The sequence below is a fragment of the Homo sapiens genome, chromosome 10 (genome assembly GCF_000001405.40).
Source record: "Homo sapiens chromosome 10, GRCh38.p14 Primary Assembly".
Lineage (NCBI taxonomy): Eukaryota > Metazoa > Chordata > Mammalia > Primates > Hominidae > Homo > Homo sapiens.
The window spans coordinates 11,595,489-11,614,687 of NC_000010.11; the positions used below are offsets into that span (position 1 = coordinate 11,595,489).

The 19,199-nt window shown below is 39.5% G+C and overlaps 1 protein-coding gene and 1 long non-coding RNA gene across 11 annotated transcripts in view, besides 5 other annotated features; one reads left to right on the forward strand and one right to left on the reverse strand.

Annotated features, from left to right (window-relative positions):
* Positions 1–16,162, reverse strand: part of USP6NL (USP6 N-terminal like) — a 151,141-nt gene extending 134,979 nt beyond the window's left edge. For 6 of the 10 annotated variants that reach the window (NR_125732.2, NM_001391960.1, NM_001391961.1 and 3 more), the window contains exons 1-2: positions 15,955–16,162; positions 2,143–2,229 (exon numbers count right to left, since the gene is read on the reverse strand). Coding sequence is in view for 6 of the 10 variants with exons in the window: in NM_001391961.1 (NP_001378890.1) it covers positions 2,143–2,146 (4 nt within the window). In the remaining 4 variants the exon portion in view is untranslated. Of the gene's footprint in view, positions 1–2,142; positions 2,230–5,856; positions 10,113–15,954 lie in introns of those variants that run through there. The other 4 variants (XM_011519762.3, XM_047426037.1, XM_047426036.1 and 1 more) reach the window with 4 other exon arrangements.
* Positions 7,409–7,488: an enhancer, noted in NCBI's record as "active region_3016". NCBI's record gives its function as "activates an Ori minimal core promoter by ATAC-STARR-seq in GM12878 lymphoblastoid cells {active_cell/tissue: GM12878}" and the evidence as "EXISTENCE:reporter gene assay evidence [ECO:0000049][PMID:35858748]".
* Positions 13,888–13,977: an enhancer, noted in NCBI's record as "active region_3017". NCBI's record gives its function as "activates an Ori minimal core promoter by ATAC-STARR-seq in GM12878 lymphoblastoid cells {active_cell/tissue: GM12878}" and the evidence as "EXISTENCE:reporter gene assay evidence [ECO:0000049][PMID:35858748]".
* Positions 15,628–15,707: a silencer, noted in NCBI's record as "silent region_2129". NCBI's record gives its function as "represses an Ori minimal core promoter by ATAC-STARR-seq in GM12878 lymphoblastoid cells {active_cell/tissue: GM12878}" and the evidence as "EXISTENCE:reporter gene assay evidence [ECO:0000049][PMID:35858748]".
* Positions 15,718–16,457: a silencer, noted in NCBI's record as "silent region_2130". NCBI's record gives its function as "represses an Ori minimal core promoter by ATAC-STARR-seq in GM12878 lymphoblastoid cells {active_cell/tissue: GM12878}" and the evidence as "EXISTENCE:reporter gene assay evidence [ECO:0000049][PMID:35858748]".
* Positions 15,813–16,739, forward strand: USP6NL-AS1 (USP6NL antisense RNA 1). The gene has a single exon (NR_160647.1). It is a non-coding gene; the product is annotated as a USP6NL antisense RNA 1 (long non-coding RNA).
* Positions 17,208–17,307: an enhancer, noted in NCBI's record as "active region_3018". NCBI's record gives its function as "activates an Ori minimal core promoter by ATAC-STARR-seq in GM12878 lymphoblastoid cells {active_cell/tissue: GM12878}" and the evidence as "EXISTENCE:reporter gene assay evidence [ECO:0000049][PMID:35858748]".

The window sequence follows — 19,199 nt, forward strand, 5'->3', positions numbered from 1 at the left end:
TAATGCCAGCTGACTCAGTGACTGAATCTGTGATGTTCTCAACGTCACCATGGGGCCAGGGCTCTGACCCACTAACACAGACCTGATTCTGATCTGGGAACTCCAAAGCCAGGCAGAGACAAATATGAATCTGCTAGACCAGCATGAAAAAAACAAAAATCACAAAAAGAAAGAGAGAGACATAAGAGCAAAAAAACTTCCATCAGAATGTGCCTGCAAATTACAGAACATGATGAAAATATCAACAATCAAAACATAAATTCCCTGAAGACAAAATTTTAAAATTATCAAATGATCTGAAAAAGACTTTAAAATAAGCATGTAAAAGATCCACAAAGAGATAAAATAACAGAACCAATTGTTTTAAGTGGACATGAAAAAGAATTAGTGGATTAGTGGATATAAAGAACCAGTTAAAAATCTTGCAAATGAAATATAAATATTACAATTTAAAGGTGAAAAATGTTATGTGGTTCAAACACTATTAGTTGCTTGGCAAGCCATTCCTCCCCTCTGCCTTCATCCTCGCAAGACTTTGATCTTTGTTTTCTAGGGTAAGCAGTATACAAGACACCATCAAACACCGAAATTCAAACATGAAAGGCACAGGCTACCTGCCGTCAAAAAAACTTACATCTGCAACACTGATCCTAACAGAACCCAAAAATTGCAAAGTAGAAGAAAATTTATTTCACTTTCCAAAAATGTAAGCGTTTTTAAGTTAAAATGCTTGCCATTTCTTTTAATTTTTGTGAACTAATTACCATCTTCACTAGAGTTAGCACTTTACATTAGATAAACTTTCTCACAAAATGTCATGATTGGAGCTGAAATAACAAAAGCTCTTTCTTGGCCGGGCGCGGTGGCTCACGCCTGTAATCCCAGCATTTTGGGAGGCTGAGGCGGGCGGATCACAAGGTCAGGAGATCGAGACCATCCTGACTAACACGGTGAAACCCCGTCTCTACTAAAAATACAAAAAAAAATTAGCTGGGCCTGGTGGCGGGCGCCTGTAGTCCCAGCTACTCGGGAGGCTGAGGCAGGAGAATGGCGCGAACCCAGGAGGTGGAGCTTGCAGTGAGCGGAGATGGTGCCACTGCACTGCAGCCTGGGCGACAGAGGGAGACTCCGTCTCAAAAAAAAAAAAAAAAACTCTTTCTTAATCTGTACTGAACTCATCTAGCCACTAACTTTGTTTCTTCAAAGTACACTACCGAAAAAGTATACCACTGAAAAGTCAAAAATCAAAGACCGTTCCTTACAATATTATTCTTAGTAGAAGCACTCCAATATTTTACAACAGCAGCGTCATTTTCACTTATCTACTGCCTAATTATTTGAACTGATGATGAGAAAAGCTGCCCTATTTCATATTAAGGTAAATATAATCAATACAAATACTATGTGAAAAACATTTAAACTCTAATATCATCTTCCAATAAGAAAATGCTCATTGCATCCCAAAGATTCCATAATCAGGAAATCTATACTTCAAATCTCCATATAATCCCAGTTAGGGTAAAATCTCAATTCTTTTCCCACCCTCTAAAAAGAAACAGTTAACACAAAAAAGTAAAATCCAGTTCTCTTGTTCACAAGCAGAAGTATATAGGAATAGAGAGAAAATATTACATATACTATCCCCTTACAACTAAGAAGATAAAATTATCAAATGTGGTTAAGCCCAGGATAGCCTTGGTTCTTTGTTCTATCAGAGACATTGATAGATTGTTAGGGGTTTTTTTTCCCTTAAATACAATATAACCCATGTTACTCAATGATTAAATTTCACACAATAAAATCTCTACTAATTATGGTCAACTGCAATGTTCCCTATTCATATTTCTGAAGAACCGTTTTCCAATGGCAAGTCAATAGAAAATTTTAGATCACAGAACTAAATCAGCCAAAGAGCTAATGACCAGATTTCCTCATCACATGAAACTTTTTAGAATAAATCAAACATCAGAAAGTATCTCCTTGTCTTAACACAGACAAGCGCAGAGTGCTGGGTGGAACCACATTCAAACTCTGAATAAGTGACATAATTCCAATTTATTCAGTAACATGTTTTTCTTCTCCTAAGCACAATACAGCAAACGCTCCTGAGATGGCTGGAAGGAAAGGAAGCAGCGCACTTACTCATGACTGGAAATGGGTCTGAATGTTGTCCCAATCAGATATTAAACCAAAATCTGCTGTCCAAGGTTTCTCAGAGGAATACATGTCCTAGTCAGGAAACAAAGAGAAAGAAATAGTATTTTCTAGAGGTCAATATTTAAAATAAAGTTTTCTTAAAGAAAATCATTTTGTTTCAAAAATATTCTACTATTTCCAAAAAGAACTCTTGTGATCACCTATTAAATATAAAAGATTATTAATCAACTTTTAGAATATCCTGTTGAATTCGTGTTTTCCTCTTTTGGAATAAGTTACTTCAAATTTAAGTGATATGTAGTAAGTAATCACCACATAGAAACTTACTAACAGGTGTCCTTCGTCTTCAACACTAAAAACATTTCTTCCCCATTCCCAGCTAAGAAAATCACAGGTAGAAGGCACTCCATCTAGGGTAAATACAGCCCACATCATCCCTGCTGAGTATATTTTGACTGCACATAAATGATTAATGTAAGACTTCAAATAAGGATCAGCAAAGTTATTGCTATAGACTTTCTCTAGCAATGAATATTTTCTTCATTATAAAAGTAATATGGGTTCATTGTTTTAAAAACAAAAAGAATAACAATAAGGTAAACTTCTCTCATAACATATTACCCTAACCCCTACATCTACCCAATCATTTGGGACATATTTCCTTTCAAGCCATTTTTTTTCTAAGTATTTTAAAAATATACTTGATACTACACATAAAATTTTGTACTTGTTCCTTTCCACTTAAGAGCATAACATAAAACATCAACTTGTGTTAGTATTAATACAAACTTAACCCTTTGCTAAGATTTACTTTATAAATCTTCCTTTCTTAATTACTGTATTTCTAAAATATTAATATAGGTATAAATATTAATGCTATATTTAAACATAACCATGGATGCACAAATGCCTACCTAAATCTATCATATAAAATTCCACAGATAAGATCAGACTCAACACAAAATGTACACCTGTACTACCTCACATGTAGTTTCCTTCATAAACAAATAAGCTACTTCTTCCAATCACAATAGGTGATGGTTATTTTCTAAATCAATTAAGAAAACAGTATACTACTACTAGAGACCTCTGCTTTAGAATCAAAGTTAGGGAAATACTTTTTGAAGAAATACTGCTTGCCACATCTATATACTGTACTTGCGTCATGTAATATACATGAGAAGTATTTCATTTGCAGAATGAAAACAGACTGCATCAGCACTTACGTGCCCAGCATGGCCCGCACACTGTAATTAGCATGGCATAGAATCACAGTGCTGCCACGTAATACCCTGACCCCCAACCCACATGCTTTCCTCTTTATCTGTCCACTTAAATGATTTCCATTTCCAGATAATGCAATTATCCCAAAGGAAGTGAGAAGTTGTATGGAAAATCTAAAACATATAACCCACATGCTAGTTTTAGAATACATGATGAAAGTTTCTCACAAGAAATATACTTTCTTGATGGTGCTTAACTGACTATTTAGATTTGTTTTCCTGCCTAGGAAACTCTGAGGTAGGACATGTGGACCTGGAGCATGCTGACTGCTGACAAGGCAAGACAGTCCCGTGTTACAAATAAGGCAGGATTAAACGTTCACAGATGACCCAAGAGTCCACTTAAATTTATACTTGTAGAGTCTAGTCGCTTTGACCAGGGACTTTTCTCTTTATGTTTATACAAAATTTTTTAATCTTAAATTTAAAACTCCTAAATGGTAACATTAAAGCACCTTGTGCGATGTAGCACACTGCTTCCTGCCTCTAACCAAAAGGAGCCAAAGAAATACTTATTCAAGGATTTCAGTTCTTAAGACATCAAGAGTTTTCTCAGCACCAAAAATAGTAACCTCAAAAACACCAGTATAATAAAACTTATAAACACTAGACTTATAATCTTACCATCTGAGGTAATAAATGTACACAAATTTTATAGTTTGCAAAACTAAATAATGCATGTTTTGGAATGTCATGGATTAGTTCTTAGAAACATTTATAAATGACATAACTGAAGTCACGCGTTCAGGATTCTTTATTTACACTAATCACAGCTTTAAAATATAGATCCTCCAACCTACTTTTTTTTTTTTTTTTTTTTGAGACGTAGTCTCGCTCTGTCGCCCAGGTTGGAGTGCAGTAGCTGGGACTACAGGGACCTGCCACCACGCCCGGCTAATTTTTTGTATTTTTCACAGAGACAGCATTTCACGGTGTTAGCCAGGATGGTCTCGATCTCCTGACCTCGTGATCCACCCACCTCGGCCTCCCAAAATGCTAGGATTACAGGCGCGAGGCACCATGCCCAGCCCCTCCGACCTACTTTCAAAGTAAGGAGTCTACCAATTGTTATATGGAACAAGGTAGTTGAGCAGCACACAGGAGAAAATGTTTAGACTCCCTTTCTCCTCCCCTAAATGCTACTTTTGCACTAAACATACAGAGGTGAAAGAAGAAAAACCTTACTTTCTGTTTTTCACACCATCCAACAGGGAAAAAGTAATGTCTTAAACCCATAATTTCACATCAAATTATATTGGGATATTTCTGCAAAAATTGGCCTTTCATCTCATTTTCCAGGTACTCTAAGTCTAAGGGCGTGGCCATATGACTTGCTGGAATGGTTCTAACTGGAGGCTTGAGGAGCACTGAGGCAGCCTGCCTTCCCTTGTGCTCCTACATGCAGAACAAGAAATGTATGCCCCAGGTAGCAATGGCCCACAATGAATAAATAACCTAACATGTAACTGAAGCCAACCCACATCTTACAGCCAAACCCAGCCAAACTCAACAGAGAGCGCAGACCAGTGAGCTAGAAAGAAACGTCTGGTGTTGTGCACTGAAAGTTTGCAGTCGTTACACAGCATTATTACAGCCAAAGATGACTAATACAGACAGTAAAGATAGTAATTTTAAATTCAAATTTAAAAATTTTCTAGTTAAAAAGACTATTTTAAAAGTCTAGCCATATTTCATAAGAAATACACCTAAATCAGCAAAACACATAAAGGTGAGAAATAAGCATTAAAAATGTTTATCAGGCTGGGCACGGTGGCTCACGCCTGTAATCCCAGCACTTTGGGAGGCCGAGGCGGGTGGATCACGAGGTCAGGAGTTCAAGACCAGCCTGGCCAACATGGTGAAACCCTGTCTCTACTAAAAATATAAAAATTAGCTGGGCGTGGTGGCAGCCGCCTGTAATGCCAGCTACTGGAGAGGCTGAGGCAAGAGAATTGCTTGAGCCTGGGAGGTGGAGGCTGCAGTAAGCCAAGATCGCACCACTGCACTCCAGCCTGGGCAACAGAGCAAGACTCTATCTCAAAGAAAAAAAAAAAGCTTATCAGGCAAACTCTAACCAAAAGAGAGACATGTGGCTATAGAAAGTCTTTCATGTGTGCTAAGATATATACTGAAAAATGTTCACAGCAATGCTATTCATAATAGCAAAGAAACTGAAATTTCCATCAACAAAAGGGTAAGTAATGATATCATGTTTATATAATCAAGTACTATGAAGCAGTGAAATGAATGAACTATGGGTATGCACATCAACAAATATCACAAGTATTACTGATATATACTTATTATATATACTGTACACACATACACACACACGTAAAGATACCACTTATATAACAGTCCAAAATATGTATAATTAACAATACGTTGTTAAGAGACATACACATATGTAACATACTATAAAGAAAAGCAAAGGAATGCCAGAGCCCACAGTGATGCCGATGGTTTCCTCAAGCCAGTGGTAGGATGGAGGTAGACAGAGGTGATCCAGGAGGGTACTGGGAATGTTCTTTCACTTAAACTGAGGAGAGGATGGGATGGACATCATTATGTCAGTCTTTATGTAACATATTACACATAGTCTTTGTATGAATATATTTTACAGTATTTTAATATGAAAAACCAAAACTTTTCCAATGAAATGCAGAAAGGAAATTATAAAAGTAACATTAATATATGTAACCACATATATAAAGGGGTTAAATGCATTTACAATCTTTAAGCCATGCTTAAGAGGCCAAAAGAGTTGTAGTGGTTCATTTGTTCCTTAAAAGTAAAAGACAAACACAAGTGATAGCCATTCCAACACAAATTGCAAGATAGCTTTTATGTGAAGACTGATGATTATACATTATCTACGTGGAGAAGGAGCTGGCTAACCAAGAGTTGTATCATTTGTGCTGTCTTATCTCAGCTGTCTGACCACTAAAGCTTCTGATCTCACCTTCACAGCTGTATAATCCCAGCTCATTTTTTCACAGAAATTCCTAGATCCTGTTTTTCTAAGTTGCTATTTAGTGAACTGTCCTACCCCCTAAAAAAGAAAGAAAAAAAAAGAAGAAAATGTCCTTCATTGATGTATTATTTGTAATAGCAATATATATACATACATATACATACATATACACACACACACACGTCCAAATAACAAGGGATTGACTACATTGTTAATTCACATTTAATAGATTCTCATGTACTCATTTAAAATGTCTTAAAGAAATTCAATGACAATGAATGAATAAACAACGAGCAACGTATTTAACGCAACTTTCTCATCAAGTCAGAAAGAAAAAAGCATCAGAAATGATGCCTCAACCAAGCTACATTTGTTTCCTCAAAGGCTATAACTCAATACTTAAATGATTAATGTTCTGTTTTTAAATTTAAAACAGGCAGATAATAACATAGATAACAGGAAGGATTTACTATGTATAATATATAATATGTATTACAATAAATATATAATGTATAATGCATAATAAATCTTACTATTCATTCATTCAGTATTTACCGAGTAGCTATTATGAGCCAGGCAGTGTACTAGGCACCGCAGACACTGCCAAGAACAAAGCCAAGTCTCTCGCATCATGGAATGTACAGCACAGTAATTTCAGTACCCTCCTTCCTTCATTGAGATTCACGGTTCATTAGTTCAAATATATGTCAGGGCAGACTCCCAGGTGCTGGTTGAGTATGCCAAATCTAAACTTTCTGAAATCAGACACGTTTTGAGCACTGACGTGACACTCAAAGGAAACGCTCATTAGGGCACTTTGGATTTCATTTTTGGGATGCTCAACTGGTATAATGCAAATATTCCAAAATCTGAAAAAATCTAAAACCTGAAACACTTCTGGTCCCAAGCATTTCAGGTAAGAGATACTCAACCTGTCATATCTTCTCATTAGAAATTATTTCAGTTAATATTAAAGTCATTATTCACTAACAGAGAAAGTCTCAACACTGTACTTTCACAGTTCTTATGCTTTCCCTAAAGAATGCTCTTGCTGCAACCCCGTGAAACATAACGTCACATTTCTACAGCTTTAAGTATTTTCTCAGCGCAAAAGTAAAGCAAATCTTCTGTCATTGCTAGAGAGAAAGGAGGTTTGTTTACGCTATTCACTAAATCAACAAAGTACTTCCTGCTAATAAGATCAAAGAATGAGATGGGCCTAAGAGCAAAATGAGCAATCATCTGGTTTCATCGGTTTCTTTACACTTGTATGTTAATGAGGCATGAGATAAGAATGAGGTCAAATTTCCCCTTCCACAGGTAGGTTTCCAGACAGACTTATCAAATCCGAGTAGGTTTATACTGGTCAACATGACAACTTCAGGTATTTAGGAAAACAAATGTCCATTCCAAGTCTTCCCTACTTCTATCAGTTACAGAGTCAGGGCCTTTTAAAAATGACCTATAATTAGTTTACATGGTATATGTGCCTAATCTACTTGATACATCATATCAGAACTGCACATAATGCCTGTGCTCCATAGATAAAAGTTAAAATGAAGGATACAATATATCTGGTGTTCAGGAGTCCGACATCATTTTAAAAGTCAGTTAAAAATTCCAGACTGCCAACTGTAACAATAAGCACTATAGCAGACACCATGAAAAATACAAAGAAAAGAGTAAATAATTCCAGGCCCTATCTTCAAAAATCTATATCTAATTGGATTCTAAATACAAGAATGTATTCATCTATTCATTTAATAGATATTAATTCAGCTCCACAACACGCAAAAACTGCTCAAGGGCCTTGGGATAAAACAATCAAGACAAGCTTGGTTCCAGCCATCTGCAGCTAACAGAACATATTCAGAATAAAAGTGCTAAGGGCAACCAGAGTGACAGTCAAGGCTATATAAAGGCCCTGTACTGAGTGAAAATCGGAAAACTTATGGACCAAGAGGTGTAAATACACACAGGTGAAGAGAGGAAAATTCCTGTAGGATGTCAATAAAACTGGAATTCAGCAGTACAATGGTGGACTATAAGCCTTGCAGGGAAATCACTCAACATATAGGAAGTCCTCAATGCAAATGTGTTACAACTCTGCCATTAACCAGCTCTAGGAATTCAGACCAAGTCACTTCACTTCCCTGACCCTCAGTTTCTTTGTGTGTAAAATGAGAGTTAAAATTTTCAGCCTACCTACCACTGAGAGTTGCTGTGGAATTATGCATAAAAGAGTGTGCTGGTAAACTAAATATCTTATTTGGTTCACACGTTAGTACTGATCCATTTTTGGTCTCATAAAAGAAGAAAACTGAAACATAATTTTTAAGTTCTCTTTCTAGCACTGTATGATTTATTATCTTAAAACTAATTTTAATTCAATGGGTAACTCAGGTTCTAATTTCCTTAGCGGTATAAGGAAGATCAACCTAAATCATTACATTAAACCAGCTAAAACAAGCTGGTCTAAAATGTTGGTTATATGTATTTTTTAATGGGGCAGATCCAACTATCACTTAAAAGAAAGTCAAAGAGACTACTGACAGTGAAGTAGTCAGAGGTAACCCTCAGTTTCAGGGGAGAATTTGGATGGCATTCTTTTGGTAAGCCTCAATGAGGGCAAATCATCAACCTTGGAGGAAAATAATTTTTTGTGATAGAATAAATGTTTCCCAAGCAAGTCTGGTGAATGAGCTCAGAATTCAAACTGATAATAAAACACTGGATCAAAATGTGATATAAACTGATAAGGGATACAACTCAGTATCTCCAAAGAACAATTTCTAAAAAAATTCCAGAAATTTATCTTCAGCAATTACAGCAACAGAATCTCAGCACTACTTTGAAAATGTATTCTAAAATTCTGCTTTAAAAATTAGTGTACTGCTTCACAATCAGACCCTTCTACCTAAGAGATAAATAATAACTAATAAAATAATTATAATAATATGCTGTAATAAAAGGTAGTCTTCTCCATCTCTCAAAGTATCTTCTCATACTATATTGCAGGAACTGAAACCAAGGAAAGTGAAACTGCAGATAAGGAGGACTACTGTATGTTATGTGAGTGATTACACAGTCAACTACATTTATAAAAATTATTCAGAGTATACAGTTAAGATTAGTGTACATTATATGTGTATTCCTTATTTAAAAAAAGGAGGAAGGATATCAAACAGCTAACAAGACAGTGTGAAATTACCAGCCACCATCCGAAGAGAAGACAGAAATCTGAAATAGAAAGCAAGGAACCTTGAGGCTTCTTTAGGTAAACGTTTGCCTAATCAAAGAGGTGCCTAAGAGTCTAAACCACACTTTGGCAGTCTTCAAGGCTAGGAGGACAAAATGTCAGAGTACAGGATCCACCAAGGGAGCCATCTCTGCTTCAGAATAAGCAAAAAACTGAATCCCATGAGAAAGAAAAACTTAGAAGCAAACTAAACCAATTATTGCATAGACTCTCAACTTTTTATTAGAATAAAAGTGATCCCAAGTGTCTGGCAAAAGCAATGAAAAAAATCCTTACCTAACCTATAATGACTGCTAGAAACACTTTTTCAAACACAATGACCAGCACACAATCAAAGATAAGCAGGTATACAAGGAGATGAAACTCCTTGAGAAATAAAAGAGACCATAAAAATGTTATAGCACTCTGGGACATAGTTACTATGCTTACTGCATCCACAGAAATATATGCAAAATCTAAAACTTTTGATAGGGAACTAGAAACTAGAAAAGTGGCAAAGCATATCTGAAAAATAACTAAACTGAAAGTCTAAATAAAAATGAAAAATCTAATAACCAAAATTTAAAACCCAGGGAATACAGATTAAAACCCAGGGAAGAGTAGATTAGAAATGAAGACTAACTTAGTCCTGGAAGGTAGCCTGAAGAAAATATTCAAAACAAAAAAGATACAAAAAGATGAAAACAACACCACAAGAGGCAAAATACACAGAGGATTCAGGGAGAAAATCTAACATTGTATAACTGAGCTCCCAGAAAGATTAAGCAAGAGAATAGGGAAAAGCAGTATCTGAAGAGAGAGTGGCTGAGAACTTGCCAAAATTGACGAAAGACATCAAGTCACGGTATCAAAATGCCCCATATATCTCAAACAAGAAATGGTGCAAGAGGGAGAGGAGGAGGAAAATAGAAACAGAAAGAGACAGAAAATCATCTCAAAGCCAAAGACAAAATGAAAACCATAAAAACAGCCTGAGAAAGAAACAAATTAGCAACAAAGAAGGAATAAACTGCAGCTGACTTCTGAATAGAAACAATCCAAAATATTAAAGAATCTCTCCAGAAGACTTATCTAGAATTCTACATCCAGCAAAATATATCTTTCCAGAATGTAGATGAAATAAAGATACTCTTAAACAAACAAGTTAGAAAACTTGTCAATATTACATCCACTCTGAAGAAATACTAAATGGTATCTTTAGGCAGAAAGATAATTATTCCACATGGAAGGTCAGGTAATGTAAGAAAGAATGAGGAAAATGAAATGCAGTTAAGTCTAATTAAATAATAACAGCATAAAACAACAGAAATACATCTGTGGGGTTTAAAACATGCATGCATCTTAAAACAAGGCAATAATGAAATAAGAAAGGAAATTGAATGTAAATGTTTTTAAAGGTCTTGCATTATTTACTGCATTATCTAGAAAAAGGGTGAAAGTCTCAATATTATACTTTGATAAATCAAGAATATATATTAAAATGTAAGTGAACACTAAAGGAATAGTACAAGAATATGTAATCCCAAGCTAAAAAATGAAAAAACAAAAATTATTTTTAAGAAATCAATTCAAAATAAAGCTAAAAAATTAAAAATGAACATAGAAGAGGTGAAGACAGATTTTGAAATTTTTTCTTTTTTTTTTTTTTGACACGGAGTTTTACTCTGTCGCCAGGCTGGAGTGCAGTGGTGTGATCTCGGCTCAGTGCAACCTCCATCTCTCGGGTTCAAGTGATTGTTGTGCCTCAGCCTCCGAGTAGCTGGGACCACAAGCGTACGCCACCATGCCCCACTAATTTTTGTATTTCTGGTAGAGATGGAGTTTCACCATGTTGGCCAGGCTGGCCTCAAACTCCTGGCCTCATGTGATCCACCCACCTGGCCCTCCAAAGTGCTGGGCTTATAGGAGTGAGCTATCACACCTGGCCAAAATTAATTTTTAAGCACTACTGCAATCAAGAGTTATTATAGGCCAATTCATTATTTTTTAATATGGGCACCAGGGAAATACACAAAAAACACCTAGCTCATACATATATACCTAACTTTTATAAATTTTAGCCTGCACATCTATTCAATTTTTTTCCATTGTGACTGACTTCAAAATCTTATTTCACCTTATCTTACCACAGATATGCCAATGGACATTAAATGTCCAAAAACCAAACAAAAAGAAACAAGAACAAAAAACCTAGAGCCAACTGACTTATAAATACTGCATTAATTCTATAATAAAATATTAGCCAGGCAAAGTGGCTCACAACTGCAATCCCAGCACTTTGGGAGGCTGAGGCAGGAGGATCACTTGAGCCTAGGAATTCAAGACCAGCCTGGGCAACATGGAGAAACCTCATCTCTACCAAAAAAATACGGAAATTAGCTGGGCATGGTGGCACATGCCTGTAGTCCCAGTTACCTGGGAGGGTGAGGTGGGAGAATCGCTTGAGCCTGGAAGGCAAAGGCTGCAGTGAGCTGAGACTGCTCTACTGCAGTCCAACCTGGGTGACAGGGTGAGACCCTGTCACAGGAAAAGGAAAAAATAATAATAATAATAATTTGCCATCACTGATCTACATAACATTACTAACAGCAAAACTAATACATTAAGAAGATTAAAAATAATATTCTTTCATTTAGTTCATTTAAAATGTTACTTTAAATTTTTAATTTCACTGGCTGACTCAATGAAAGGAAAATTCCAGGATAAAATTTTAAGTTTTTCTACAGTCATATCAATGTCAGCAAGACACAGGTGCAATGTGTACCTCTATCCCTGAGTAACTAAATAATCTCTTTAGAGCTAAGAACACTTAAAAACAAGATATGAAACTCCAGAGTAACTCCTGATCTTTCTGTAGGCAAACGAAAACTACTTGCCACTTACTGAAGATTTGTATTTTAGGGTGGATTGCTACTACAGTTTTTTGAGAGGTGGTCCAAGCTCTTCAAAGAGAAAATGGAACCAAAATGAAACCAAGACTATCCTGATATTACAAAGCATCTCTGTAAGTAAATCAAAGAATATTTTATTTAACATTTAATCCCAGTCTTACAGCTATCAAAACTAACAAGTAATCCAATGCAGAGTTATAAAAGTGGACATCAAAGCATGTCAAGAGTCACTCCCAGGTCTGGTATGGATACAGACGAGTAGAATGACTTCCCTTCTCTAATGGCTATGGAACAAAGCTGAGCTGCTTCATTCAGATGATCCAAGAACAGTGCCAAGGGCCTTCTCCACATAACCAACAGTGACTGCTCATGGGCTATGGACGGAACTCATACAGAAGCAGCTTATTTAACCTTCCCAATCTCTTCAGTGACTGTGAACAAGCTCTTCTCTCACCCTCAAAGTTTCCCACACACCCGCCTCTTTTTTTCAGCCAGCTATCTCTGCCTCATCTTCAGGTCTTACAAGTCGCTTCCACAGGGGACTTGCCCTGACTCCCTCAAAACCAAGTTAGGTTCCCTAGGTATGGGTTTTATAGCTCCCTGTACTTCACATCAAAGGACTCATCCCACGTGTTGAAAACAAAGTACCTAACACAAAGTCCTGGGGTACACAGAAGGCACTCAAAAAATAATGGTTGAATAAACACGTTTGAATTTACGATCCTCCCCAATTTTACAAAGAAATGAGCTTTTAAAAATTGAGTCATTTGCATGAGGTGATACGACCTGAAACTGGCATAGACCAGTTGAGAATCCAAGTCTCTGTCGCTCCAATTCCCATGCTTAAATCTCATGTACTACATGGACGTGTGCTACAAGTTGGATTTCTTTTCAATTATTATTCTTACAGTGACTTCCACTGTAAATACAGGAGTCATCTGTTCAAGGGAAAAATGAGTCTCTCAATATAATGAAATCATATCTGACAATGGACTATGCTTTTCTTTTCTTTTCTTTTCTTTTTTTATTTGAGACAGAGTCTCACTCTGTGGCCCAGGTTGGAGTGCAGTGGAGCGATCTCCGCTCACTGCAACCTCTACCTCCCAGACTCAAAGGATTCTCCTGTCTCAGCCTCCCGGGTAGCTGGGATTACAGCAGTGCACCACTACCGCCCAGCTAATCTTTGTATTTTTAGTAGGAACGGGGGTTTCAGCATGTTAGCCAGGCTGGTCTTGAACCCCTGACCTCAAATGATTCATCTGCCTCGGCCTCCCAAAGTGCTGAGATTACAGGCATGAGCCACTGCAACCCGCCAGTCTATGCTTTTCAAAAATCACATTGAAGGAACAAACTATAACTTTCTGGTAATTAGAGGTCTGCATTGCACTAGTTACAAAGTAAGAATGGTTAAAAAAAATCGTTACAGTGAAATTGTGAACATAAACCAGAATTGTAATCACTTGTCTCGTTCTCGCTACCTCAAGTGGCAATTCCCAAAGCTATCCTATTCTACTACATTAACATTCCTCACACTTTCTAATCAGAGTAATTTTGTTTGTTTTCAGTTTGCTACTAGCTTGAACTCATTGGCCTCTTTTTCACCCATCTTAGCTGGCTACAAAATGTAACAAGGACTTGACACACATGGGCACATGGTGGCAAAGATGGACCAAGGCAACCCTTGCTTGGCATTGGAGACTCAGGTTGGATCTGCTGGGGTGAGTAGTTCTCTTGGTTCCCTATAACGCCAGAGGATGATCAATCACCTAACAGTGCCAAATCTGACACTTTCACTTACTGGCTTGTTTAACCAAAGTCAGTCCCCAGTAGGAGCTATTTGCATGTCAAAACATTATTAAAACTGGTAATGGACTAGTCTTACCAGAAACAAGTACAACAAAGAGTCTGGCTGCATAGCTAAAAACTAAGTAGGCACCAAAACTGAGGCTCAGGGCCCAAATTCTTAATATTTGGCAAAGGATGTTTCTTTGAGTGCCTTTGTAACAACTCATTAATTCTCTATATATATATAATCAGCAAAGGAATTTCTGTTAACTAAGGATACCTGTACTTGCAATTAGGATTTCTTCCTTTAAAAGTTAACTTATACTTTTATTAGTATAATTTTTTTTCTATTTGGACATTTTAATTGTCTACGTAGAATACAACATGGCATCAACATCCATTTTAAGTAATGAACTACACTATGTTTACAAATGTTGTTATAAAAGAATGGCAAACCAGGAAATATTTTTGTTAATTTTAGGGTCTGACTGAACCAGAAATAAAAGCAAATAAACCACTGTTCACTTGCTGCTGGCTAATTTATTCTTATTCAGATGACTTCAGGAAAGAAAAAAGAACACTGACTTCCCCCTGAAGGAACTTGCCAGAGACTCAATATAGGAGGGAGTTGGCCAGGGTGATCTCTAAAGTTCTGTGTAACTTTTCTAAGCTATGAAATATTAAATATCTATCCCAAAGGTGTAATTATTTTTATAAAAGGATTAATACAGGATTGAAACCATTTTCTTTCAACAAGCAACATACTTAAGACGGCGTCCTCACTTTTTTTTTTTTTTTCCATTCGTCTCGCACTATTTCCAATCACTGGGTACGGCCCTAATTCAACAAGCCTTCCCAGTCCAAAGAAGGCATGCTGAAGTCTACGGTCTAAAAAGCATCTATCTGCGGATTAAATGTTGGGAAAGAAAGGGATAAGGGTTGGGGGTGGGGAGAGACAACATTTTCAAATTACAGAAACGTGCACCCATGGATTCCTACGCGTCCCGCATTTTCTAGCAGTAAAACACCTGCGAGGAACCGTTTTCACGCATTACAAATGCCGCACCAGCCTAGGGTTGTGAGCGCCAAACTATTTTGCAAACTTTGCAAAGGCGCACGGATTTCCAAGACTTGCAGATCTCTCATTCGCCCCATCCTCCCCTCGCCTGGTCCAAACAAAGTTCCGCGGCATCAAGGCAGTCATTTAAAGGCACGAAGTTTGCCCGGGTCCTGCCCACTGGGGCTCGGGAGACGCGACCGAAACTTGCGAGGGAGACGCGCCTGGCCGGGATCGCGGCTCACTCGGGGAGGCAGTCGCCGGGTTCCACCCCCGGGCCTCCCCGCACCCCGCGCGGCGCCCCCAGCCCGCCCATCGCCCCGCGGACCCCACGCTCCGGGCGCGGGGACACACAGGCAGCCCCCGCACTGTGCCCGAGCCGCCCCCCAGGGCCGAGCCGCGAACCGCAGCCGCGTCCCCTCCTCCAGGGGCCGGGAATGGCGGCGTCCGGCTCCCCGGGGCCAACTCCGAGTCCCGGCCCGGGGAGGACGCCCGCGGAGCCCGCCGCCGCCGGCCCCTCACGGCGGGAGCTGAGGAATGGAAGTTACCTCAGTACGGTCCCGACTGCTAGGCTGTGGGCAGCGGACAGAGCTGGCGGTCCCGGGCGGCCGAGCAGATCCGGCGCGGCGCGGCGCGGCGGCGGCGGCGGCTACCGCAGTGCCCTCCGCCCCATTGTTTCCCTTCCAAGAGGATCCCGGCGAAGCCGAGCCCGGGAACCAGGAAGTTCCCCGGCGCGACACCTCCTGCCGCCGCTATGGAAACGGCCCCCGCCTCCCAGGGCGGCTCGCCCGGGACCCCGCCTCCGCGCCTCCGGCCCCGCCCGCCTCACCGGCCGCCGCCAACCGTCACCGCAGCGGCCGCAGCCGCCGCCATATTGGCGCGGCCCCTTCCCGGCGGCACGTGCGCTCCGCTCCCGCACTCCCGCCGTGCGCGCTCCCGCCCGCCTCGGGGACGCGCGCCCAGGGCTGCAGGTGCCCGGAGCCCCTCGGCGGGAAGCGGGCGCTGGAAGCCCAGGACCCAAAGCGGGGCTTCGGGGCACGCAAACGAGCGACATTGGCGTGTCCAGCCGGCAGGTCAGAGGATAGCAGAGACGTAGGGAGGTCAGCTGAGTAGGGGGCGAGAGGATGGTCTCCGGAGCCAGCCTGGCTTTTTTTTTTTTTTCATTTCTGCCTCAACTACTTACCAGGTGTCAGCCCTTGGACACTTTTCCCTGTGCCTCAGTTTCTTCATCTGTAAAGTGGAATGATAATAGGACCTGCCTCATGGGGCTGTCCTGGAACAAGCGAGTGCTTGGTAGTAAGTGCAAAGCTCAATAAAATGCCATTGCTACTGACATAGGTGACACTGCTGTCATTTTTCAGGAACTTAGGCTAAGCGTTCACATCAGCACTACTTTAAGTAGGCTACTGTGTAGATCCCATTGCTGCTTCAAGCTTCTCAAATGTTCATCACTGTCCCATCTTTCTGTAGGTCAACTTTCCTTTTTTACATCGTGGAAATTGTCAAGAGTTTTAATCTCCAAAGCCTCCCATTAAGGGGTGCCATAAAAAGATGAATGATGTAAACTTCCCAAAGCCGTAATTAGCTGACAGTTAAATGATTGATTCAATCGAAGCTAGAAAAGTTAGGGTGTACAAGTAACCAAAAGGCTTCCTGTCCTTGATTCCAGGAACTAGAATTACTGAACCTGGCAACCCTGCACTGTGCCTTTTATCTCTCTTTTCCAGCTGGTGAAAACTGACACGAAGAAACTGAATGCTGCGCCCAATATCTCACAGAAGGGGTGGAAGGAGGAGGCAGGGTCACAGGCTCTTTGCTAGCACCCAAACTTTGAGAACTGTGACTCAGATTAGGTTTGGTCTCTAAGGCTCCTTCTAGCTCTCAAGTGTGGTAATCTTAACGACAGGGATACCCAGCAATACAGTCTGAGAAATTCATCCTTAGGCAATTTCGTGATTGTGCGAACATCATAGAGTATATTTACACAAACCTAGATAGTAGAGCCTCCTACACACCTAGGCTATAAGGTGTGACTTATTGCTCCTAGGCTACAAACCTGTTCTGCATGTGACTATACTGAACACTGTAGGCAAGTGCAATACAATGGGAAGAATTTGTGTATTTCAACATAGACAAGGTAACACATTGGGCTATAATGTTACCATGGCTATGACATCGCTAGTCCATAGGAATTTTTCAGCTCCATTATAACCTTATGGGACCACCATCGTATGTGCAGTCCATCGTTGACCAAAACGATGTTATGTGGCACATGACTGTGTATACGCTGTTTAAGAAAATACAAATCTATACTTCCTTTTGGGGCTTCTTTCATTCATTTAAACCAGGTTTCTGAAGACTAGTATTTATTTTTAGGATCCTGATACCAAAATGGCATAACTCATTTAATACATGAATTGAGGGGCTAAAAGCAGACCAGAGTTATTTTCAACAACCAAATACTTCTCCGAAAGTTACAGGATTCCCAGGTTAGCAATCACCCAGACTGGGCTATTCTCAATTCCTGACAGGAAAGAGCCCTCACTCGTATCTCTTTGTAGCCCCTGCTGGACCCAGCAGATTGCTTTGCACATAAAAAGTCCTCAGTAAATGCTTACTGAATTAAATTGCTATGATTGTGGTCTCCCATCACTAAAGGAGACCTTGGAACCACAGAGATGCTCAAGAGACATCAGTCTTGGGAGGCCAAGGTGGGCGGATCACTTGAGGTCAGGAGTTGAAGACCAGTCTGGCCAACATGATGAAACGCCGTCTCTACCAAGAAATAAAAAAATTAGCTGGGCTTGGTGATGTGTCCCTGTAGTCCCAGCTACTCAGGAGGCTGAGATGGGAGAATCACTTGAACCCGGGAGGCGGAGGCTGCAGTGAGCTGAGATCGCACCCCTGGACTCCAGCCTGGGTGACAGACAGAGACCCTGTCTCAAAAAAAAAAAAAAAAAAAGACAGTCAAGGGACATGATTGCAAACATCATGGATGAGAACCCAAAGTCACTAGTTAATGAATTAATGGGATTTTGGATGGACAACCCTGGCCCCAGGCTTACTTGGCAAAATAAACTGGAAATTTCAGATACGTTTTTTCCATAAATTATATGGCTAATTTTGAAAACACTGTTTTGGACTTGATTATGAGCACCCCTGTCTCAATTTTATACTTTCATAATAGCACTCTGACTCTATGGTATTATTACAGTTCAGAAATCCCCCAATTTTTTTCCCCAAGTCAAAGTGTCAACAGTGTCACCTCACCTGTACTTTGTCAATCCCTGCTCTAAACAATTATAGCTAGATTATATTCACTCCATGATTATATTCACTCTAACATGACATGCCAAATATTAAAATACCCTTCAACTGAAGGGAGGGTGAAAGCTGTACAGCAGGAACGTAACAAAAAGTAAAAAGAAGTATGGTCTAACGATTTGTGTTACCATTTAAAATATTCCACAATACCAAAGGTTAGGACCACCTCTCGTCCATCATCATGGAATAAGAGAGATGGATATTTGCATTTCGTTTTTGCAAAAGTTATGTATTATGCTAATGACAATATTTAAAATCTTGCCAATGGTAAAAGTACAGGTTTAAATCCCCCACAGGATCCCATAATAACTAAGGCCAGAAGTACAATTTGTGATGAGGACATAAGAACATAGAACATGGAGGAAAGAAATTCTCCAAATTATCTATCCTTCACTGTCATCTTCAAAATATGGATGAAAGGGTCAGGTCTTCGAGTCTCCTGTAAAGTGAGACTTTGAAATGTGAATCC